The sequence below is a fragment of the Homo sapiens genome, chromosome 17, assembly GCF_000001405.40.
Source record: "Homo sapiens chromosome 17, GRCh38.p14 Primary Assembly".
NCBI lineage: Eukaryota > Metazoa > Chordata > Mammalia > Primates > Hominidae > Homo > Homo sapiens.
This window is the reverse complement of record NC_000017.11, coordinates 34,041,486-34,060,445: the sequence shown is the minus strand read 5'-3', so window position 1 is coordinate 34,060,445 and position 18,960 is coordinate 34,041,486. Positions and strand designations below refer to the sequence as shown.

At 42.2% G+C, this 18,960-nt stretch overlaps 1 protein-coding gene and 1 long non-coding RNA gene across 2 annotated transcripts in view, besides 1 other annotated feature; both read left to right on the top strand.

Moving 5' to 3' along the window:
• The window catches only part of ASIC2 (acid sensing ion channel subunit 2), a 1,143,682-nt gene that overhangs the window by 96,323 nt on the left and 1,028,399 nt on the right, over window positions 1-18,960 (top strand). The gene's annotated exons all lie outside the window — the stretch shown is intronic.
• LOC107987247 (uncharacterized) overlaps window positions 1-18,960 on the top strand; it is a 51,173-nt gene that overhangs the window by 10,452 nt on the left and 21,761 nt on the right. Inside the window, exons 2-4 of the long non-coding RNA XR_002958159.2 lie at window positions 7,316-7,425; window positions 8,710-10,692; window positions 12,042-12,114. This is a non-coding gene — a long non-coding RNA (uncharacterized LOC107987247). The remainder of the gene's footprint in view (window positions 1-7,315; window positions 7,426-8,709; window positions 10,693-12,041; window positions 12,115-18,960) is intronic.
• Window positions 16,141-17,340: an enhancer, noted in NCBI's record as "BRD4-independent group 4 enhancer chr17:32370125-32371324 (GRCh37/hg19 assembly coordinates)". NCBI's record gives its function as "activates an origin of replication core promoter dependent on BRD2, P300/CBP, MED14 and CDK7 cofactors, and independent of BRD4, by STARR-seq in HCT116 cells {active_cell/tissue: HCT116}" and the evidence as "EXISTENCE:reporter gene assay evidence [ECO:0000049][PMID:35650434]".

Genomic DNA, 18,960 nt, shown 5'->3' with positions numbered 1-18,960 from the left:
GTGTTGAAGAGCCTTGTTTTGTCATATTACCAGAGTTGATTTTCTGATTCCCTCTCATTTGGATAGGCTCTGTCAGGGGGAAGATCTAGGGCTGAAGGCTGTTGTTCAGATTCTTTTTTCTCACAGGATATTCCCTTGATATAGTACGCTTCCCCTTTTCCTATGGATGTGGCTTCCTCTGAGCAGAACTGAAGTGATGGTTGTCTCTCTTCTGGGTCTAGCCACCCAGTGAGCCTACCTGGCTCCAGGCTGGTACTGCAGGTTGTCTGCACAGGGTCCTGTGATGTGAACCATCTATGGGTCTCTCAACTGTGGATACCAGCACCTGTTCTGGTGGAGGTGGCAGATGGTGCAATGGACTCTGTGAGACTCCTTAGCTTTGGTGGTTTAATGCTCTATTTTTGTGCTGGTTGGCCCCCTGCCAGGAGGTGGCACTTTCCAGAAAGTATCAGCTGTAGTAGTGTAGAGAGGGGTCTGGTGGTGGGCAGGGCCCTAGAACTCCCAAGATTATATGTCCTTTGTCTTTTGCTACCAGGGTGGGTAGGGAACAACCTTCAGGTGGGGGCGTGGCTAGGCCTGTCTGATCTCAAACTCTCCTTGGGCGGGTTTTGCTGCAGCTGCTGTGGGGGATGCGGGTGAGATTCCCAGGTCACTGGAGTTGTGTACCGGGGAGGATTATGGCTGCCTCTGCTGAGTCACGCAGGTTGTCAGGGAAGTAGGGGAAAGCCGGCAGTCACAGGCCTCACCCAGCTCCTATGCCAACCAAAGGGCTGGTCGCATTCTCACCGTGCCCCTCCCACAGCAGCACCAAGTCTGTTTGCAGGAGGAGGGTGAGATGGGCTTGAAAACTTGCCCAAAGCTATCTGCCTCCCAGCTGCAAAAGAAAAGGGCTTTACTTCTTTCCTTGCCTATGAAGTCTGCACGCCCAATTTGCGCCCTGCCCTGAGTTCTGGCCAGGAGGCTTCTCACCCCACTGAAGTTGTTAAAAAGCTCAGCTAGAGAATTTCTTCTCCCTGTGGAGTTTTACCCTCTGCTCCTCTCGCCACCCTCCTGATGGTTCCCTGTAATGCCAGGCAAGAATGGGCTGCTTAGAGACCCAGGGTCTTTCTGTTGCTTCCTCTACCCCTGTATTTTGCTCAGCTCTCTAACTTTACTCAGCTTCAGGTAAAGTCAGAAGCTTCTCCCACAAACAGACCTTCAACCTCTCCAGTGGGGGTGTGTGTTTGGGAGAGAAGGGTCTCCCTTTTTCATTTCCGCAGTTAGAGCACTCACAGTATTTGGGGTGTCTCCCAGGTCCTGCAGGAGCAGTCCACTTCCTTCAGAGGGTCTGTGGGTCCTCTTGGGATTGCTAGTTTGTTCTTGCAGTTGATCCAGAGCTCAAATCTACAGTGCAAGCCTCCACATGCTGCTCTGTCCGGAGCTGCAATCTAGTCCTGCCTCCTGTCTGCCATGATCCCTAAACAATTGTTAAATCTTGGTTCTGCCATTTGCTGGTGGTATGAACTTGAACAAGTTCCTTCATATCACTTAGCATCACTTTCCTCTTCTATGAAATATAGGTCATAATACCTACCTAGCAGATTATCTGAAGAGAACCAAAATGACATGCTTAGTGCGGTATTTGGCACATGGAAAATGCTCAGTGAGCATGATGTCACCTCATGGAGTCCCTGGAAGACCAGCTAGCTCTGCTCTCCTCCCCTCCCCTCCTATCTTAAGTATCTGCATTCCCACAAAGAAAACGGGGATCCACATTTCTGTTCCCTAAATATGTAGGAGGAAATGCTAATACATTTCCCTGAGATCCATACAGTCAGTTGATCTAGGAGGAGAAAGAAGAGAAGGAGGTTTCAAGGACAGCGTTTCAAGGCCTGCTACCTGTCTTTGAATTGAGCAGCTAGTGCTACAGGAATGAAAGTCTGAGCTAAGCATTTGTTTTAATAATATGCTTTACCCATGAAGCCCTGGTATCCAGTTCACAGTGGGTAATCCTGGGAATGAGGACCACCAGAGATAAGAGAACAAATGAGAAAATCTGGATTCAAGGGCTGTTCCTCCAGGCTGTTTCTTCATCTATAAGGTGGTTATAATCTACTGTTGATAAGCTTGGTTCGGAAGGTGAGATGACCCAGTGAGGTGGCACATGCAGCAAGGGCTTATGTCATTCAGTATCATTGAACCCTCAAAGAAAACTCGGAGGTGCATCTTACATAGGCAGCCTCAGCAAGCTCACTGTCTAGCCAGAAGATGACATGTACAGAACCGACTCAGATATAAGGTAAAATGTAAAAAGAGATGAGAGTAAATATAGAGGTTAGCACTTAGAAATATGTAATTTTCAGGTAAGGAGCTGTGACAAGTCTTCTTGGACAAGGAGAAAGTTGAGTTAGGCTTTAGAGAAAAATAAGTAGGATTAGACCGTGTTTAGGTAGGTAGAGTTGTGCACGCACACAAGTACATGGGTGTAGGTGTCAAAATGTCTGGGACTATGGGCTCTTGGAGGTTTGTTACTACTGCAGGAGGAGGTGGGAACAAGAATAAAGCTACCTGGGAGTGTGAAAATGTGGAAAGTATTGGCTTTGGAGTTAGACAGACTTTGGTTCTATCACAGGCATTTCCAAAGTACCCTGCACAGGTACATTATGAGGTTTCTATTTTCAGCTACATGCACTCTCTCATAGTCTGAACTTCTACCTTCTTCTCTGTTTAGTTTCTATTGCCAAGCACTAGCACTAATCCTAACCCGCAGTCCTAATCCTTGACCCTCTTGCCTCTGTGCCTCGCCCTCTTTTTCCTTACTTCCTCACTTCCTGTTGCTTCCTGCCTGCAATTTTCTTTCTGTTGTATTTCCTCCCCTCCTGCAGTCACCACATTACTACAAAATCTTTCTAAAATACATATCTGATTATATCCGTCCTCCTACTAAAGCTCCAGTAATGACTCCCATTGCAGCCATAATTGCACCAAGTCCCATCATCAGACAGGCACTCACACCTCTACTGCGACAGCCCATTTCCTCAATCACACCCTCCTTGGGCTTTAACACCCACCAGTTGCTCCATCCCATGTTCAGACCTGTTCATGCTGGCTTCTCTGTTTAGAATATCCTTTCCCAATACTTCCTTCAGAGAAACTTTTAATTTAATAGTTTTTCAAGACTGAGTTTAGCTTTTCTACCTCCTGAAGAGTTTCTCTCACTTGTCTTTGGAATATTTAACAGAGGAATGTGGTATCTAACTCTCCTTGGGATCATTTACATGTCTCTATGTGTAAATAGACTTATTTGTCTCTCTACTCAGGTCCAAGTATGGGGCCTGGCATAAATTTAGTGCCCAACAAAAGGTTGATGATTAAATGAATGAATGAATAAATGAATGAATAGATAGTTTTATTAATAATGAGAACAACTCACCTATGGCTTCAGTTGGGAATGAAAAGACGAGGCAACTATTATACATTGATTATCTGTCTAATCCACTCTTTGACATTTCCCCCAGGGTATTTAAATGATTCATCATTGTATTTAAAAGTTTGAAATCCTTTGAACTGTGTTTTCACACGAATGGGTTGTTTAACCTCAAGATATGAGAGGATCCCAGCCAACGATGAGGAACTCAGCATATTTTGGGATTTTTGCAATTTGGAGATCAGGTGAAAAGTCAGAAGCATTTACTGAGGACCTGAAGGATACTGAATCAGTAGGTTATTTGGTAGAGGAGTTGAAATTGAGAAGTAAATAATATAGATTGACCTATATGGGTCAATCTGTATATTTGCACAGTTTGGACTTCTGTCTGTATTATTAATTAGTTAGTTATTCCACAGCAAATTCTTCACTTTTTAGGTTGATTTGGTTGTGGACTTCTATTTTCTCAGGCATAGAAAATATCTGAGTTGTTTCCATTGTACTGCTACTCCATGCTCCAGAAGGACATGCTTTACCACTCACAGCACTCCTTACCTACCAGCCCAGAATGTGGTCTCAGAATCTTTCTTTGCACAGTGTCACAGGTAGCTATTACCAATTACCAGAATTGGTTCATAAAACAAAACCCATTTTCCATCCCTCCACAAGATGTTGAGGTATTTTAGGGAGAAGGCAGGACCTGAGCAGTGCAGAAGCTGTGTGCCAGGTGATGGTGGGTCAGCCTCTTTCCCAAGCTGCAGGCTCCATGTGTCTGCTTAATGTCTACTCTGCCATGCCTCAGCCATTGCAAATGGAAATCCTTGGATGTTGCCTAAATTATTGTTCTTCCTCCACTTTCTTAATTGCAGTAAAAGATCCTAATAGGCACCCAGTTTTTCAAGCTAGAGACCATTCTTCCATTTCTCTCACCCCTCACATTTAATTCACTGGCAAATATTCTTGACCGTATTTATCAATATATATTTCAAATCTGTCCCCTGACAGTCTTACTACAATTACTGCCCAGTGTAAGTCATCCTAGTCTCTTTTCTCAACTACTGTAATAGCCTCTTAACTGCTTTTCTTGCCACCATCCCTGCCCCCTCTACTCTATTCCCAATGCTTAAAAACGTGTAAATTAATTCTACTCCTAGGTATTTAGCCAAGAATAACAAAAACATATGTCTACAGCAATAATTGTACAACATTCATAGCAGGTTTATTTACATTAGCCAAAAATTGGGAACAATCCAAATGTCCATCAGCAAGTTAATTGACAAACATATTGTATATTTATACAACGGAATACTAATCAGTTTTTAAAAAGCAAACTACTGACACACACAACATAAATGAATTTTAAAAACATGCTGAGTAAAAGACACAAGAAAATACCGTGTGATTTCATGAATATGAGCTTTTAGAATAAGCAAAACTAAGATAAAAAGGCAAGCACAATCATTGTTTCTTGGGGGTTAATTGGTAGGGATTGATTAAGAGGAAACAAGAAGGAACTTTCTGGGAAGATGAATATGTTCTGAGATAACAATCGGAGTTTCATTTGTCAAAATTAGGATTTGTACATTTTATTGTAAGTAAATTTTACCTCAAAAAGAGGAAAATAAAACTGTAAAAAAGACAGTAAACAAGTGGGAGGGCAGGGAGTAAATGATCTGTAAATGATGCAGGAATGGGAAATTTTTGATAATTTGTTGAATCTGGGTGATGGACACATGAAGGTTCGTTATATTATTTGGATTACTTTGTAAATGTTGGAAATTTTCCATAATAAGATGTTATTTTAACATATAAATCGAATCGTGTCTCTTCGTGGCTTAAACCAATTTAATGGCTTTCTACTGCAGACAGAGTGAAGCCTGTGCTATATGTTATGATTTAAATGGTCCTGCACCATCTAACTGCTGGCCACTTTATATCCTCTTCCTCTCTCCTCCTGTCTTCCTGTCCTTTAGTCCCACTGGACTCTCTGAGAGGTAGCTAAGTATGCCAAGATTTTTCCAAATGCAGGGCCTTTGGATGAGTCATTTCTTTGGATGGACCTCTCTTCTTCCATTCTTCACATGATTGTTTTCTTCTTGTGCTTTAAGTCTTCAAGAAGCCCTCCCAATAGATACATTTTGGTTACTTGCTCATCTATCTCCTCACTAGAAGACAGACTATGAAGGCATGCATAATGTCTCTCTCAGTTGCCATTTTATGCTAAATTCCTAGAACAGCACCTTGTTTTCTGTTTTCTGAGTCTCTATGCATCAGTGAGTGCTATCCTTCACCTATGTCATCTCCTTCAGCCCTGAGGTTAAGCATGTCCTTTTATGTTGCTCTGACTAGCACCATGGTCAGCAGTAAATTTAAAGATCATGAGACTGAGGATGCAGTTGGAGCAAATATCGGGTAGGACATGATAACTATTTTGGCATGTTTTGAAGACCATCTGGCAAATGTGTATGTGTGAATTGGAACTATGGGAGACTATTCAGAAAGGCTGGTACTGGGTAGGATGCTACCAGTATGAGTTTAGCAGCTGGTCCTTGTGATGGAAGTAATCTGGGAAAGGAGGGTACCCATACATCTCCACTCATTGCTTGAAAAAAGCACTATACTGTGAGCCAGGAAGTAGAAATTCAAGCTCTGCATTAACATGTTTCATGGCTCTGGACAAATAACAGCCTCTTGGAGCTTTGTACTTCAAAAACGTACTTCATTGACATCAATGTCTCCCAGGTAAAATGATATTGTAGCTCATAGATGTCTTGAGTGAGGAAAATGAAGAGCAATGAGGGAAAGGGACGCATGTAATGAAAACACTGATTATGACAGAGAAGCAATGGGAATAATTTGGCTAATCAATCCATGTACCTGTTGTTAGGAAACTGGACTAGAGCACATGCAAGATTATTTACAGAGTTAGTATTCCATGAAAAGAACATACGGTTGACTGCTCTTTCATCTCTTGTGCAGGTTTGCGGTACTTATGACTCCCACTCTACAAGGTCTGCTCTGGTCTGAGTCCTTTGCTCTCGTTTTCCATTGTCTCTTATGCTGGGGAAAACAAAGACAAACCCTGTACAGAATGGAGGTCTTATAGGTACCTGAGTCTTGTCAGGGACTGAGAAAGGAAGACTCTGGGCATGGCTTTCATAGACAGAGGAGCACACCAACAATATCTGCCAATTAGTCCCACCTATATTTGGTTTCCTCCACCTTAAAGATGGACTTCTTCCAAATGCCAGTACCTGCATATGATTAAGCAGGTGGGCTTTGAAGCCAGACATCCTGAGTTTGAATAATCCCAGTTTTTCCACCTCTATGCTCTTTGATCTTGAACTCAGTACCTAATTTCTCTGTCTCTCAATTTCCTTTTATTACCAAATGTTTATTTGAAATTAAATCTTACCTGTCACACAGGTTAATTGGGCAGATTATGTGGGCTAATGCATGTAAAAATGTTTAGTGCACAGTGTGGCATATAGTATATACTCAATAAAGGTCACCTATTATTAATATCTTTAATACTGTGGGATGTTGCCCATATGGAAGTAATCACTTCAGCTCTGCTTATAACCTGGGAAATGATTTGATCTTTTTCAAAATGCTGTATTTATCATCAAGAGTTACAAAGACAACAATAAACAGCCACCACCCACCCAGCTTTGCACAGAGGCCATAATGGCACTAAGGCCTGGGAGAGCATTTCCAGTGTCTTCAGCACAGGGAGCTCTTAGAGGGCCTGACTTTTATGAGTGTGTAAAATGCCTGTGGACGCATTAAACTTAATATACGATCATAATAACAATGGAGCCGCCAGCCTGAGAGAGAGGCAGCAACCCAGGGAGAACAAAATTTGGAGGCATAAAGCATAAGAAGGAAATGTTTTGTTTTTTTTCTTAGGGGTTGATCAGTGGTTGGAACATGAAGGGAGTGGAATAAAGGGCAGAGGATGTGGTGAGCAGCTTGGAACAGCAAGCACTGCAGAAGAGATTTTATCCCTCCAAGCCTAGGTCTGGTGCATGAGAACTAAGTATAAAATTGGAATAGTCAGAGGAAAGGAGGGTGGAAGGAAGGAGAAGGGAGAAAAGATGAGGGATGGAAAAGTGAGATTTGGCTGGGCATGGTGGCTCACACTTGTAACCCCAGCACTTTGGGAGGGCGAGGCGGGTGGATCACCTGAGGTCAGGAGTTTGAGACCAGCCTGGCCAACATAGTGAAATCCCATCTCTACTAAAAATACAAAAAAAATAGCTGGGCATGATGGCAAGCATCTGTAATCCCAGCTACTTGGGAGACTAAGGCAGCAGAATCGCTTGAACCCGGGAGGCAGAGGTTGCAGTGAGCCTTGATCACGCCATTGCACTCCAGCCTGGGCAACAAGAGCTAAACTCCATCTCAAAAAAAAAAAAAAAGTGAGATTCATAGGCAGGGTTATTTACTAGGGATGAGGAAGACAGAGCAGTTGTGTTGGGTACAGCCACAGAAAGAGGGTGGAAGGATGGTGGGGAGGCAATAAGTGCAGCATGTATACAGTCCAGTCACATGTTCTACAGTCCAAAGTAATCGTCGCCATTCTCCGTGTAGACTCCCACTTGCCATGAACAGTCTTTTCGGAGATGGGATTTTTGGAGGATTCCGGTGGCAATATATCCCAGTCACAGGAATGTTATCTAAAGGGAGAAAGTCTCAGCATTTTGGTCCCTGAAACTATCAAACTGAAGATAAGAGGTGGCACTAAATGCCGTATGTGGGGGCAGTAGTACGATTTCAAATGTTTCTTGGCTCAGGGGCAATAAGGTCTGGAAGGATCAGTGGTGGTTTGTCAGCCAAAATGCTGCTCCAACATTTTTCATCTTGTAATGAGGCTGAGCTTTCACACAGTCAGTGCTTTGGAACAAATTGTTGCCAGTGAGTGAATGAATGAATGAGTGGATGGATGGAGGGATGGATGGATGGATGAAAGAGTGGATGAATCAATCAAGAATGAGAACCAAGTATCTGACCTACTAATCCATCTCTATTCCCTTAGTGCTAAGCAAAATATATTCACATAACCAGGAGCCAAACCATTTTAGGGCAAGATGTTCTTCAAATTTAATGTAGACTTCCAGCTACCAGAAGGAAAAAACTCACTCTCTCGCTCTCTCGCTCTCTCGCTCTCTCTCTCTCTCTGTGTGTGTGTATGTGTGTGTGTGTGTGTGTGTGTGTGTGTTCAGAAAATTCTAATTATTTTAGAATTCATGCTGATGATTCCAAACATTTTGTAAATTAATTTTTCTCTCTTTACCTTTCAGCTTGGAAGGAAGACAGAAGCCTTAACCTCCAGGGTAACATGTTGCAATTTGTTCACTTATTAATCTAACAAGAATGCACTGAGGTGCTCATTAAATGTCAGACCTTGTGTGAGGTTGAGGAAATCCAAAAGCAAAGGAGGCATGAACCTCCATGCCCATTCAGAAGGGCACCAGGCCTTTTAAGAAGGGTGGATATGCACAATTTGAAAATAACTGATAGTCCTGACTTATCTTTGCAATTAATAAGGCAATTTCATACACATTTTCTACTCTGATCCCCAGATCACCAATCCAATTTTACAGGTGAGGGAATTGAGGCAGGCTGAGGGAGGTTGCGGCTAACCCAAAGGTGCACAGCTGAAAGTGGTAGAGCTAAGGACCCACCCAAGTGTTCCGAGAACAGATCCTGTGCATTTTCCACCACAGCCCTGCTCCAGGATGCTAGTCCCTGGCACTGGTAACATTTGGATTCACTAGAGGGAGATGAGCTAAGAGGATTAAAGAGGAGTCACACGTCACCAGTTTGCTTGCTGCCATGAGCTTGTTTGAGAAAGGGATTAGTTGTGATGTTGCTAGTATCAAGCAAAATCACTCTTTTTTCTCTGCTGTTCTCTGGAATTTGGCATTTCTGGACAAACCAACCTACACCCAAGAGTTGCAGGAAAGCAATTGCACAATAAAGAATCTTAAGTCTGGAAGTGTTTCTTTCTCCAGATCAGCAGCAGAGAGAGCAGGTTTGATTCATGGAAATAAACACCTATCTGCAAGCCTCAATCACAACCCATTTCATCTGAAGTGGTCATGCAGGCATTCAGGCATCTGCAGGCTGTCCTTTCCTGGAAATAGTGAGGAGCTGGGTACTAGAGCTGAAACCCTGGCCATCCACATCTTGGCCTCATCCTTCCAAAGTGCTCCTTTTGTCTTCCTCTGAGTGCTCACAACATTTTGAATTTCTCATTTATCATCTTTTGCTCTGCATTAAAGTGGTTGTGTGATTGTGAACACAACTTACACATGCTCCTATGTGGTCTATAAGCTGCTTGAGGTTCGGGTGATGTATTCAGAGTTGCTTCTTCCTTTCATCAAGCACAGAGTAGATGTTCAATGAAGGTCTTTTGTATTTAATGAGATGGAAACTAAAAATAGATATCAGTTTTTAGAGGATTAAAATCCATAAACGGACAGAAATTCTCCAATACAGAACATGTTCACAGGACCCTGATCTTTGAGTTCTGTGATTCTGATATTCTGATTAAGTGGGAAGAGATTTTTCAAGAATCTTGTGCAGCCAGGCAGCTTTATGAGTAACCGTGCCAGCCTTCACATCCCCTCCCCACCCCCCAGAGAAGCAGGTCTTTTTGCCACCTCAATGTATCTGCATATAACAGACCTGGCATTTCCACTGCAGTAGCCCCAACCTGTGCATGCTTTTGAAGTTGTAAAAAATAGCTCCGTTTTCTGCCCTTTCACGAAGTGGTGACAAATAATCTCTGCTGCAATTTACACATTTCCTGGCAATCATAAACTCTTGTCTCATGAGAGAAGATGGACTGTGTTATATTTTCTCTGTTTTCTTCTTGGGCTATTCTTTGCCTCCCAAGGTTCAGGCATGTGGAAAGATAATGGTGCTCAGTTTTGGGATGGGGATCAGAGTATAATATTGTTATGCAAAATCATTCCAGTATCTTTGCTTATTTGATATACTCATACCTTCTTCTAATCTGTTTCAAACATTTTCCATGTGCCAAACCATGCTTGTTGCTGGAGACTCAGAAATAGTTGGGGACTCAACTCTGCTCTCACAGTTGAGGAGTCAGGCAGGTAAACAGAGAATTTCAATATGTGAGAAACAGGGTTTATTGAAGGTCCAACATGAACACAGAGGAGAGAGTAATTACCACCGTGGAGCAGGTTTGCTGGAGATTATCAGCTTGGGATTCCTGTCGGAGGAAGATTCTCTGAAGGGTTTTGAAGTTTCAAAGGGTAAGTAGAATTGATCAGATGAATAGAGGCAGAGAGAGGGACTTTGAGTTGAAAGGAACTGCATGTTTTATATCATGCAGATGTGAAATATTACAGTGGGTTTTGATAAAGGATGGAGTTTAGAAGTGCATGACCATTGGATCTGACTGGGAGGTGGGAAGCCAGAGTGACCAAGGTGTTCATGAGCCCCACTGGGGAGGATGGGCTTGATCATGGAGGAGTTTGGAGCCAAGGAGAGGTGGAAGCAGAGAAGGACAATGTGAGAGCAGTGTGGTGGGTGGGCAGGAGAAGGGTGAGATGTGCAGCAGGGAATGCAGCCTGTTCCTGGAACGGGACAAGACAGAACCTTGGGCCATTTGGACCTTAGTTCAACTCAGGAGGGCTCTTCTACCATCCTGGAGTTTCCCCTTCCAGGACTATTGCCTACAACATATTTCTTGTTTGTTTGTTTGTTTGTTTTGAGACAGGGTCTTGCTCTGTTGCCCAAGGGAGGAGTGCAGTGACACAATCCATGGTTCACTGTGGCCTCGATCTCCTGGGCTCAAGTGATCCTCCCACATTAGCCTCCTCAGCACCTGGGACCACAGGCATGCACCGCCACACTTGGCTAATTTTTAATTTTTTTGTAGGGACAGTCTATGTTGCCCTGGCTAGTCTTGAACTCCTGGGCTCAAGTGATCCTCTTCTCTCATCCTCCCAAAGTACTGGGATTACAGATGTGAGCTACTGCTCCTGGGCACCACAACATATTCCTAAATGTCATTCTTACCTCAGAACATCACAAAACATGATATACCCATCAGGAGGGACGATTATTACCGCACAGTCTGTTCTCTGGAATTATTAAAATCATATTTAATTTTCACAGAGAAGCAGAGCCCCCAAGTCAATCAATAAATATATTTCATAAATAGAATGGTGTTCACTATGTTGCTGGTCTATAGTTCCCACGACAGCACCAACATACCATCTCTTATCTGCACAACATCCGATGGAAGACTGTGTTCACACATAGCACGCCATGCCCTCTCTTGTAACCTACACAATTCTTGTGAGCTGGAAAGAAAGGAGTGATGGTCTAGATTTATGGATAAAGAAATTGAGATAGAGCAGTTATGTAATATGTCCAAGGTCGTTTAGCTGTAAAGTGCCAGAACTGGGATTCAGAACCAGTTCTTCTGATTTCAAGTCTCTTTACTGCACAATAGGACTTTACAGGTAAAGATGGTTTGGGAGATGATAGGCAGATAGGCAGCTTCAGCAGCAGTGCTGAAAATAAAGCAGAGCAGAGAGAGGCTGTTGAGCATCTAGGATTCATTCCATTGCAATCTACTATCTTTCCTTGCAAGCTACCGAGTTCAACTTCTTTAATTTAAAATGAAGGAATCTGAAGCACCAAGAGGAATGTAGTACAAGAAGTTGGTAAGTTTTGAGTTTATTTCTCCGAACCAAATTTTAGAAGAATGTAGAAAAATAAGGTAGCATGTTCAGGAGAGAGAATGGCAAGGGGTCTCAAAGTCATGACATTTAGAAATAGCTAAGAGAATGAAGAAGATGTATCCTAGAAGTGAGAGAACTCAGAACACACAGGCAGTTAGACATGCTGTGTGTGGCCCTGAGAAATATCCATAAATCAAAGTGTGGACACTCCCAATGGATGGGCTTCCGTTCACTAGAAGAAAAATCTCTCCAAGAGTGTTCCATCAAAAACTGGAACTGTTGTGTTAGCTCATAATGAGCTCCCTGTTTTTGAAAGGGTCCAAAGCCCTATTGAGGATATGGTGTGGAGTTTAAGCATTATTTGAGGTTGTATAATGTTTCCTTCTGACCTGGCAAATCCAGGATTCTCATTTATGATTTATTGATTTACTAGGGTGTAAACTTTGTCCGAGTGGGGACCATGCTTGTTTCTTTTACAAGTTTATCTTCAGTTCCTAGAATATTGACTGACTTATGAGGGCTGCAGTCTCACAGTGGAGGCAGAGGTACCAGAGAGTGAGCCCATGCATTCAAAGCTCTTGAGACACAGGCTCAGAACTGGCACATTGTCACTTCTGCAGCATTCCATTGGTCACAGCAAGTCAGCAGAACAGCCCAGATTCAGGGAATGGAAAGATTCCAACACTTTGTGGAAAGAACCACAAAGTCATGCCGCAAAGGGCATGGATATAATCAGGGGTGGGAAATTTGGCCCATTGGTGTAATCAATATACTCCAGTCTTTTTTTTTTTTTTTTTTTTTTTTTCTGGAGAAAGGTGTACATCATGTTAAGAATAGCAAAGATCAAAGTCAGAGCCATGTTATAGAATATTAGAATCATGGCTAGAAGTAGGGATGAAGGGCTGGGAGGTTAAAATATGAAAGGGGGTTTTGGGACATTGTGAAATGAGGGTTTATGGTGAATGTCACGGTAGGAATCTGTAGGCTTCATGAAGGTTGAGATGATATCTGTCTTGTTCATTAATGTATGATTTGTTACTTCACAAAGTAGGTGCTCATTATATATATGTTGAATAAATGAATATGTTGAATACATACACGTATGTATGTGTGAATGGGTAGCCCTGGTAATGGGAGCTGTATTCTGTTTGGAGAAATGGTTAAGTGCATGGTCTTTGGGGCCTTGCAGACCTCACTTTAAATATCAGCTGTACCATTTATTAGGTATAAGACATTAATGAATACCTCTGACCTTTAGTTTTCTAATCTATAAAGATGGGAATAGTATGTCCTCAAAGGTTCATTTTAAGGACTAAATGAGATAGCATAAATAAGTTCTGTAGCCCAATGGCTGGCATGGAGAGTTCTCAAAAATTGGTAGCTCTTGTGATTAGTATTGGGAGGGAGAGGATTGAAGGTATATGTGGTTCAGCTGGGAGTAAATCTAACAGACAGGGAGTTCTATAAGGGAAGCCTACCCCCCAGGCCTGAAAGAACAAACTGGAGCTTGTATTACTCTTCTTTTACAATCAAAGACAACAAAATCACCCATAAAAATGTTATTAACAACATAACAGCTTTTGCTTTTCTAAGTCCCAGCTGCTATGTTTCCCATTCAGTACTATACAAAGCCATTCGTTTCCATGGTTTTTCATCTCTAGTCCTTTGAGTGAGAGTTGGGGTAGGTACTGGTGTGGGAGGAGGGCAGCATGGAAATAAGTTGGGAATTTATGGATAAAAATCTTACCTCCTCCATGTTTGGAACCAAGCTGGCTTCCAGTCCTTGGCAGAAGGTCATCTGCATGGGCTTGGCCAGCCAGCATTGATTAATTCCTGTGACAACATATCCCATGAAAATGAAATGTCTTTTTAACAAATAAATTTTCAATGATCAATTTCTCTCAAGTACTATTGCACAACCCAAAGCTCCTAACCCTAATCCAAACCTCTAACTATAGTCACCAGCCTTTGTAAGGTTGTCACTTATAACATTTACCTCTGGCACCTGTTTTGGTTATCTGTTGCTTCGTAATAAACCAGTCCAAACACTTAGTGGCTCAACATAACAACTATTTATTTGCTCGCAAATTGGTAAATTGGTTAGGGCTCAGCTGGAAAGTTCTTCTGCTCATCTTACCTGGTCATGTGACTGTAAACATCTGGAGCTCAACTAGGGCTGAAAATTCAATATGGTTTCATTCACATGCTTGATGCCCCAGCAGAGAGATGGCTGAAACAGTGGGAAACTAAAAAGGCATCTCTGGCACCCCATTTGGTCTCTCTAGCAGGGTGGTCAGGCCTCTTGACATTGTGGTGCAGGACTCCAAGAGGGCAAAAGTGGGAGTTTTCTGGTCCCCAAAACCCTATACTCTAAACTGGCATGGTGATACTACCTCCATATTCCATTGAGCAAAGCAATTTGCAAGGCAGCCTAGTTTTGAGGGAAAGAGACTCATTTAATCTTTTAATGCGAGGAATGGTGTCTGTATACAGGGTTATAAGAAATTGTCAGTGACCTTGTTTGTGTAGGAACTACCCCAGTTTTCTTCTTCCTGCCCTTCTCTCCTGCAGGACCAATTTTGCTTTCAGCCAGAGGTAAACTAGTCTTTGTCGATGTGTTACTTTATGACCCTTAAGGCCTCACCTCTTCTGAACATAAAACAACTCTTTAATCCCTTCATTCTGCAGAAGACTAAACAGAAGTCCATGCAGGGAAAGTAACTTGCCGAAAGTCATATAGACAGACAGTAGCAGTGGGGATGCAGCCTACACTTCCTGAGGCCTTGGTCAGTGGTCTTGAAGTTTTTCCATTAATCTTCTTGGGAAAGACTGAAAATCATTGAACCCAAAGGTGGAATTCCTGGTATAGTCTCAGCAGGTAGAAGAGAGATTAGGGGCTCCCAGTTTCAAAGAAGACTACAGCTTTAATTATCTTCTTTTAAGAGTGTTAATTCGTGTAGAAGTAGCTACTGTGGAACTTGTCTTGTTCCCTGGCATAACTCTGGCTCACATTGCCCATGGGTAGTATTTTAGTTTGCCTTACATGGGGATGGGGAGGATGTGCTTTGGGAATATTACTACCTGTGTTGGTAAAGAAGAGGGGATGGAGGGGAAGAGTGGTGGAGTCTTTTTGGATGCTAGGCAGGATTGTTTGCTGTGATGGTGCCAGGCACAGGCCTGCACAGGTTCTCAGGATCTGGAAGGAAAGGGTAGATGGTGCCACGTCCACATTCCTCCCAACCCCTGGTCTCATTAAGCACGTCCCTCTATGGAAGGACTCACCACACCTAGGAATCATTTTCCTCATCCAACTTCCTGTGTTCGACTGTGAGCTCACTGAGGACAGAGGCAGAAAACAGTTTTGTTCATCTTTGGACACTTAGTATGTGTCTCAGAGAAGACGCTGAATAAATAAATCAGAGTAACTCCAAGTAATAGTCTTCCAGAGGCATTTGAACCATGGGATGCCAAGATGATGAGGGGCAGCCCAAGAGGAATGTGAAGTCTTCATCAGCAGGACACTGCAGATGAGAGGATGTGCCTGCTGGAAAGTCTCCAACCAGGGCTCCTGGACTCATCCCCAGGCACCGTTCCTTCAACTCCAGACAAACACGTCCACTAAAGGCCACATCCTCTGAGGACTTCTCAAGTGGAAGAGAGATGGAGAAACAGACGAATTTGGTATTTACTTTTCTGATCCTCCTCTAGGTGCCTCCTCATTGAAAAGTTCTGTCCTCCTCCAAGGGGATGTGGGTCAAGCTGCAGAAATTGAGATTAAAGTTCACCCTTGTCATGGACCATTTTAGGAACGCCTGGCCGCTTTCAAAATGGGCTTCTTCCCCCACCTCTCCGTTCTCTGCTTCTGAACCACAGCCGCATCCTATTTGCAGCCCTCGAGATTAAGGATGAAAATTTGACTTTTTAATTTTATTATTCTTGTTCTTCCTTCCTACTTCATTAGAATCATGTTATTGGCCTAAAATACTGTATGTAAAGGATGCTCTGGGGCCCATCTGGAAGCCTGCATTCTCTGGGGATATAATTACGCTAAGCAATTTTTCACCAGGGACAGCATGACTTAGCTTCTACCTGGGCATCCTCTGGCAACACAGCCCTCAGTTCTTCCAAAGGGATTGGCTGCTGTCCCTTCAGGCCTTCTTCTTGGTGTGTGTGTGTGTGTGTGCGTGCGTGTGTGTGTGTGTGTGTGTGTGTGATTCAAGGGTATGGCCCACTTTTATTTTGTATGAGCTGTTTTATCCATAAAAACAAAGATAATTTGTTGCATCTTTGTGTGTCCTCAACAGGGAGGGTATGCATGCCTTTGGAATAGTAAAGGTCACCAATTTTGTATTGTGTGCCTCTCCATCAGGGAATTAGAACTTGACCCATTTTTGCTTTCATGACTGGGCCAGGGAGGGAGACTGCAGCTGAAGGCAGGGAATTGCACTCTTGGTTCCAGCCCTGTCCAAGGTCACAGAGCTCAAAGGCCACCAGCCAGGATTCAAAACACACCCAGTCCATTGCCCCCATCTGCAGGAGGCCTCAGCTCCTAGGGGCTTTGGTTTTCCCCTCTATGAAAAGAAACTAATAACCCTCACCCTGCTCATCTACAGAACACTTGTGAGAAATCATTAAATTAGTGAAGGTAAAAGTGTTTTAAATTCACTCAAGTAAACATTTGCTGAATGTCTACTTTCTGCATGGATTAACAGAGTTCTTATCCTTGCAGAATTGTGACCATGCAAACTATAAATTCTAAAGCACTAAACAAATGGAAGGTTTTAAAATTTATATATTTGAAATCATTTTGCATTGTAGGAATAGAAAAATGTCTGTCAAACCAAAAGTGCCTAGGCATCTACTCCTGGCTACACAGCCTTAGACCTCTTTTGCTCTTCCTCCTAATAATGTTACTGCTTCCCATCCCCCCTCCATTTAAGGCATTTGTTTAGCCACAATCAATGCTGCCTTTTATCACATACCATGTAATAACCTTTAAAAAATAAACCTATTTACTAAAGCACAGCATACATATAGAAAAATAGAAAATTCACAAGTTTACAGTTTAGTGCATTATGATAAGAGGATACCACCATAAATGAATCACCAGAACCAGGGAATACCGCATCACCAGCATCCCTGGAGCTCCCATCCTACCCTGCCACCATGCCCTTCCTTCTTCCCTAAAAGTCAATGCTCTCTTAATTTCTAACACCATGGGTTTATTTCATGTATATTTTCATCCTTCTGCATGTAAAATCATGCACTATGTATTCTTTTGTGTCTAACTTATTTTGCTCAGCTTTATGTTTGTGACAATCATCCATGTTGCTGTATGTAACTGCAGTTTGTTTATTGTCATTGCTATATAGTATTCTGCAAATATATAAATCAACATTTATTTATTTTACTGTTGAAGAACATTTATACTGTTTCTAGTTCGAGGCTATTATGAATAAAGCTGTTGTAAACATTCCAATGCATGTCCTTAAAATAGCTTTATTGTATTATAATTGGCATAAATTGCTAATAAACTAAATCTCAACTAAATTATAAGTTCCTAAAAAGCAATAAAAAGTACTAAAACTCTTTCTCCGCAACAGCTCAAACCAAGTGCTATCCCAAATTATACAATTTGATAAGTTCGGATATATATGGATGAAACCATCACAGCAATCAAGATAGAGAACAAATTCATAGTCCCCATCAATGTTTTCTTCTGTCCTTTTGTCATTCCTCCCTCCTGTCCTTCCCACACCTTACCACTGTCTCCAGCCTTCCACTGATTGGATTTCCCTTACTAGATACTAATTTGCATTTTCTAGAATATTATGTGGATGGAATCATACAACGTGTGCTGTTTTTAGACTGGATTCTTTTACTCGGGATAATTACTTTTGAAATTTATTCCTGTTTATGTATGTAATTATTTGTTCTTTTTTATTGTTGAGTAGTATTCTATTGTTTATCATTCACATGTTGATGGATGTTTGGGTTGTTACCAGTTGTGGGTTATTACACATAAAGCTGTTTTAAATATTCATATATAAGTTTTGGGGGGACATATGCTTCCATTTTTATTAGGTAAATATGTGAGGTGAAAGGGCTGTGTCATATAATAAGTGGTTGTTTACATTTTTAAGAAACTGCTAAATTGGATTCCAAAGTGGTTGTACCATTTTATATTCCCACCAGCAGCATATGAGGATTATAGTGCTCTACATACTTATCAAAAGCTTGTCCTCTGGATTTAAAACATTCTAGTAAGTGTGCAGTGGAATCTTCGTGTGAGTTTGTCCTACAATTCTCTAATGAGAATGATGTTGAGCAAATTTTCCTGTCTTTTGATGAACATATGGACATATTTCTGTTGGGGATATGCCTAGCAGAATAATTCCTTGGTCATAAGGGACATGATCAGGTTTGTGTTACTAAAGGGTACTCCACAGGATGGATCAGAGGGAGGAATATTAAAGGTGAAAGACTACTTAGGAGATTGCAGTATGTGTTTTCTTCTGCTAGTCCCTGTCTCCTGAATCCCAACTAAATTCTAAGCTTCTAGAAAGCGATAACAAGCATTAAAAGTCTTTGTTTCTTTGCCAGCACCTCACACCAAGTGTTAGCCCCACTGAGAGGGGGGAAGAACTAACTTGGTTTGAGGGTTAGTGTGTGCTATGTATTTCTACATTTGTTATAGTATTTACTTCTCTGACACCATATGAGGAGTTAATATCCACAAGTGACAGCTAGGGAAGTGAGCCTCAGGGAAATATGCAATTTCCCAAGGTCTCGGAGCTTATAATAAGGGGAGGTGGAGTTTATAACAAG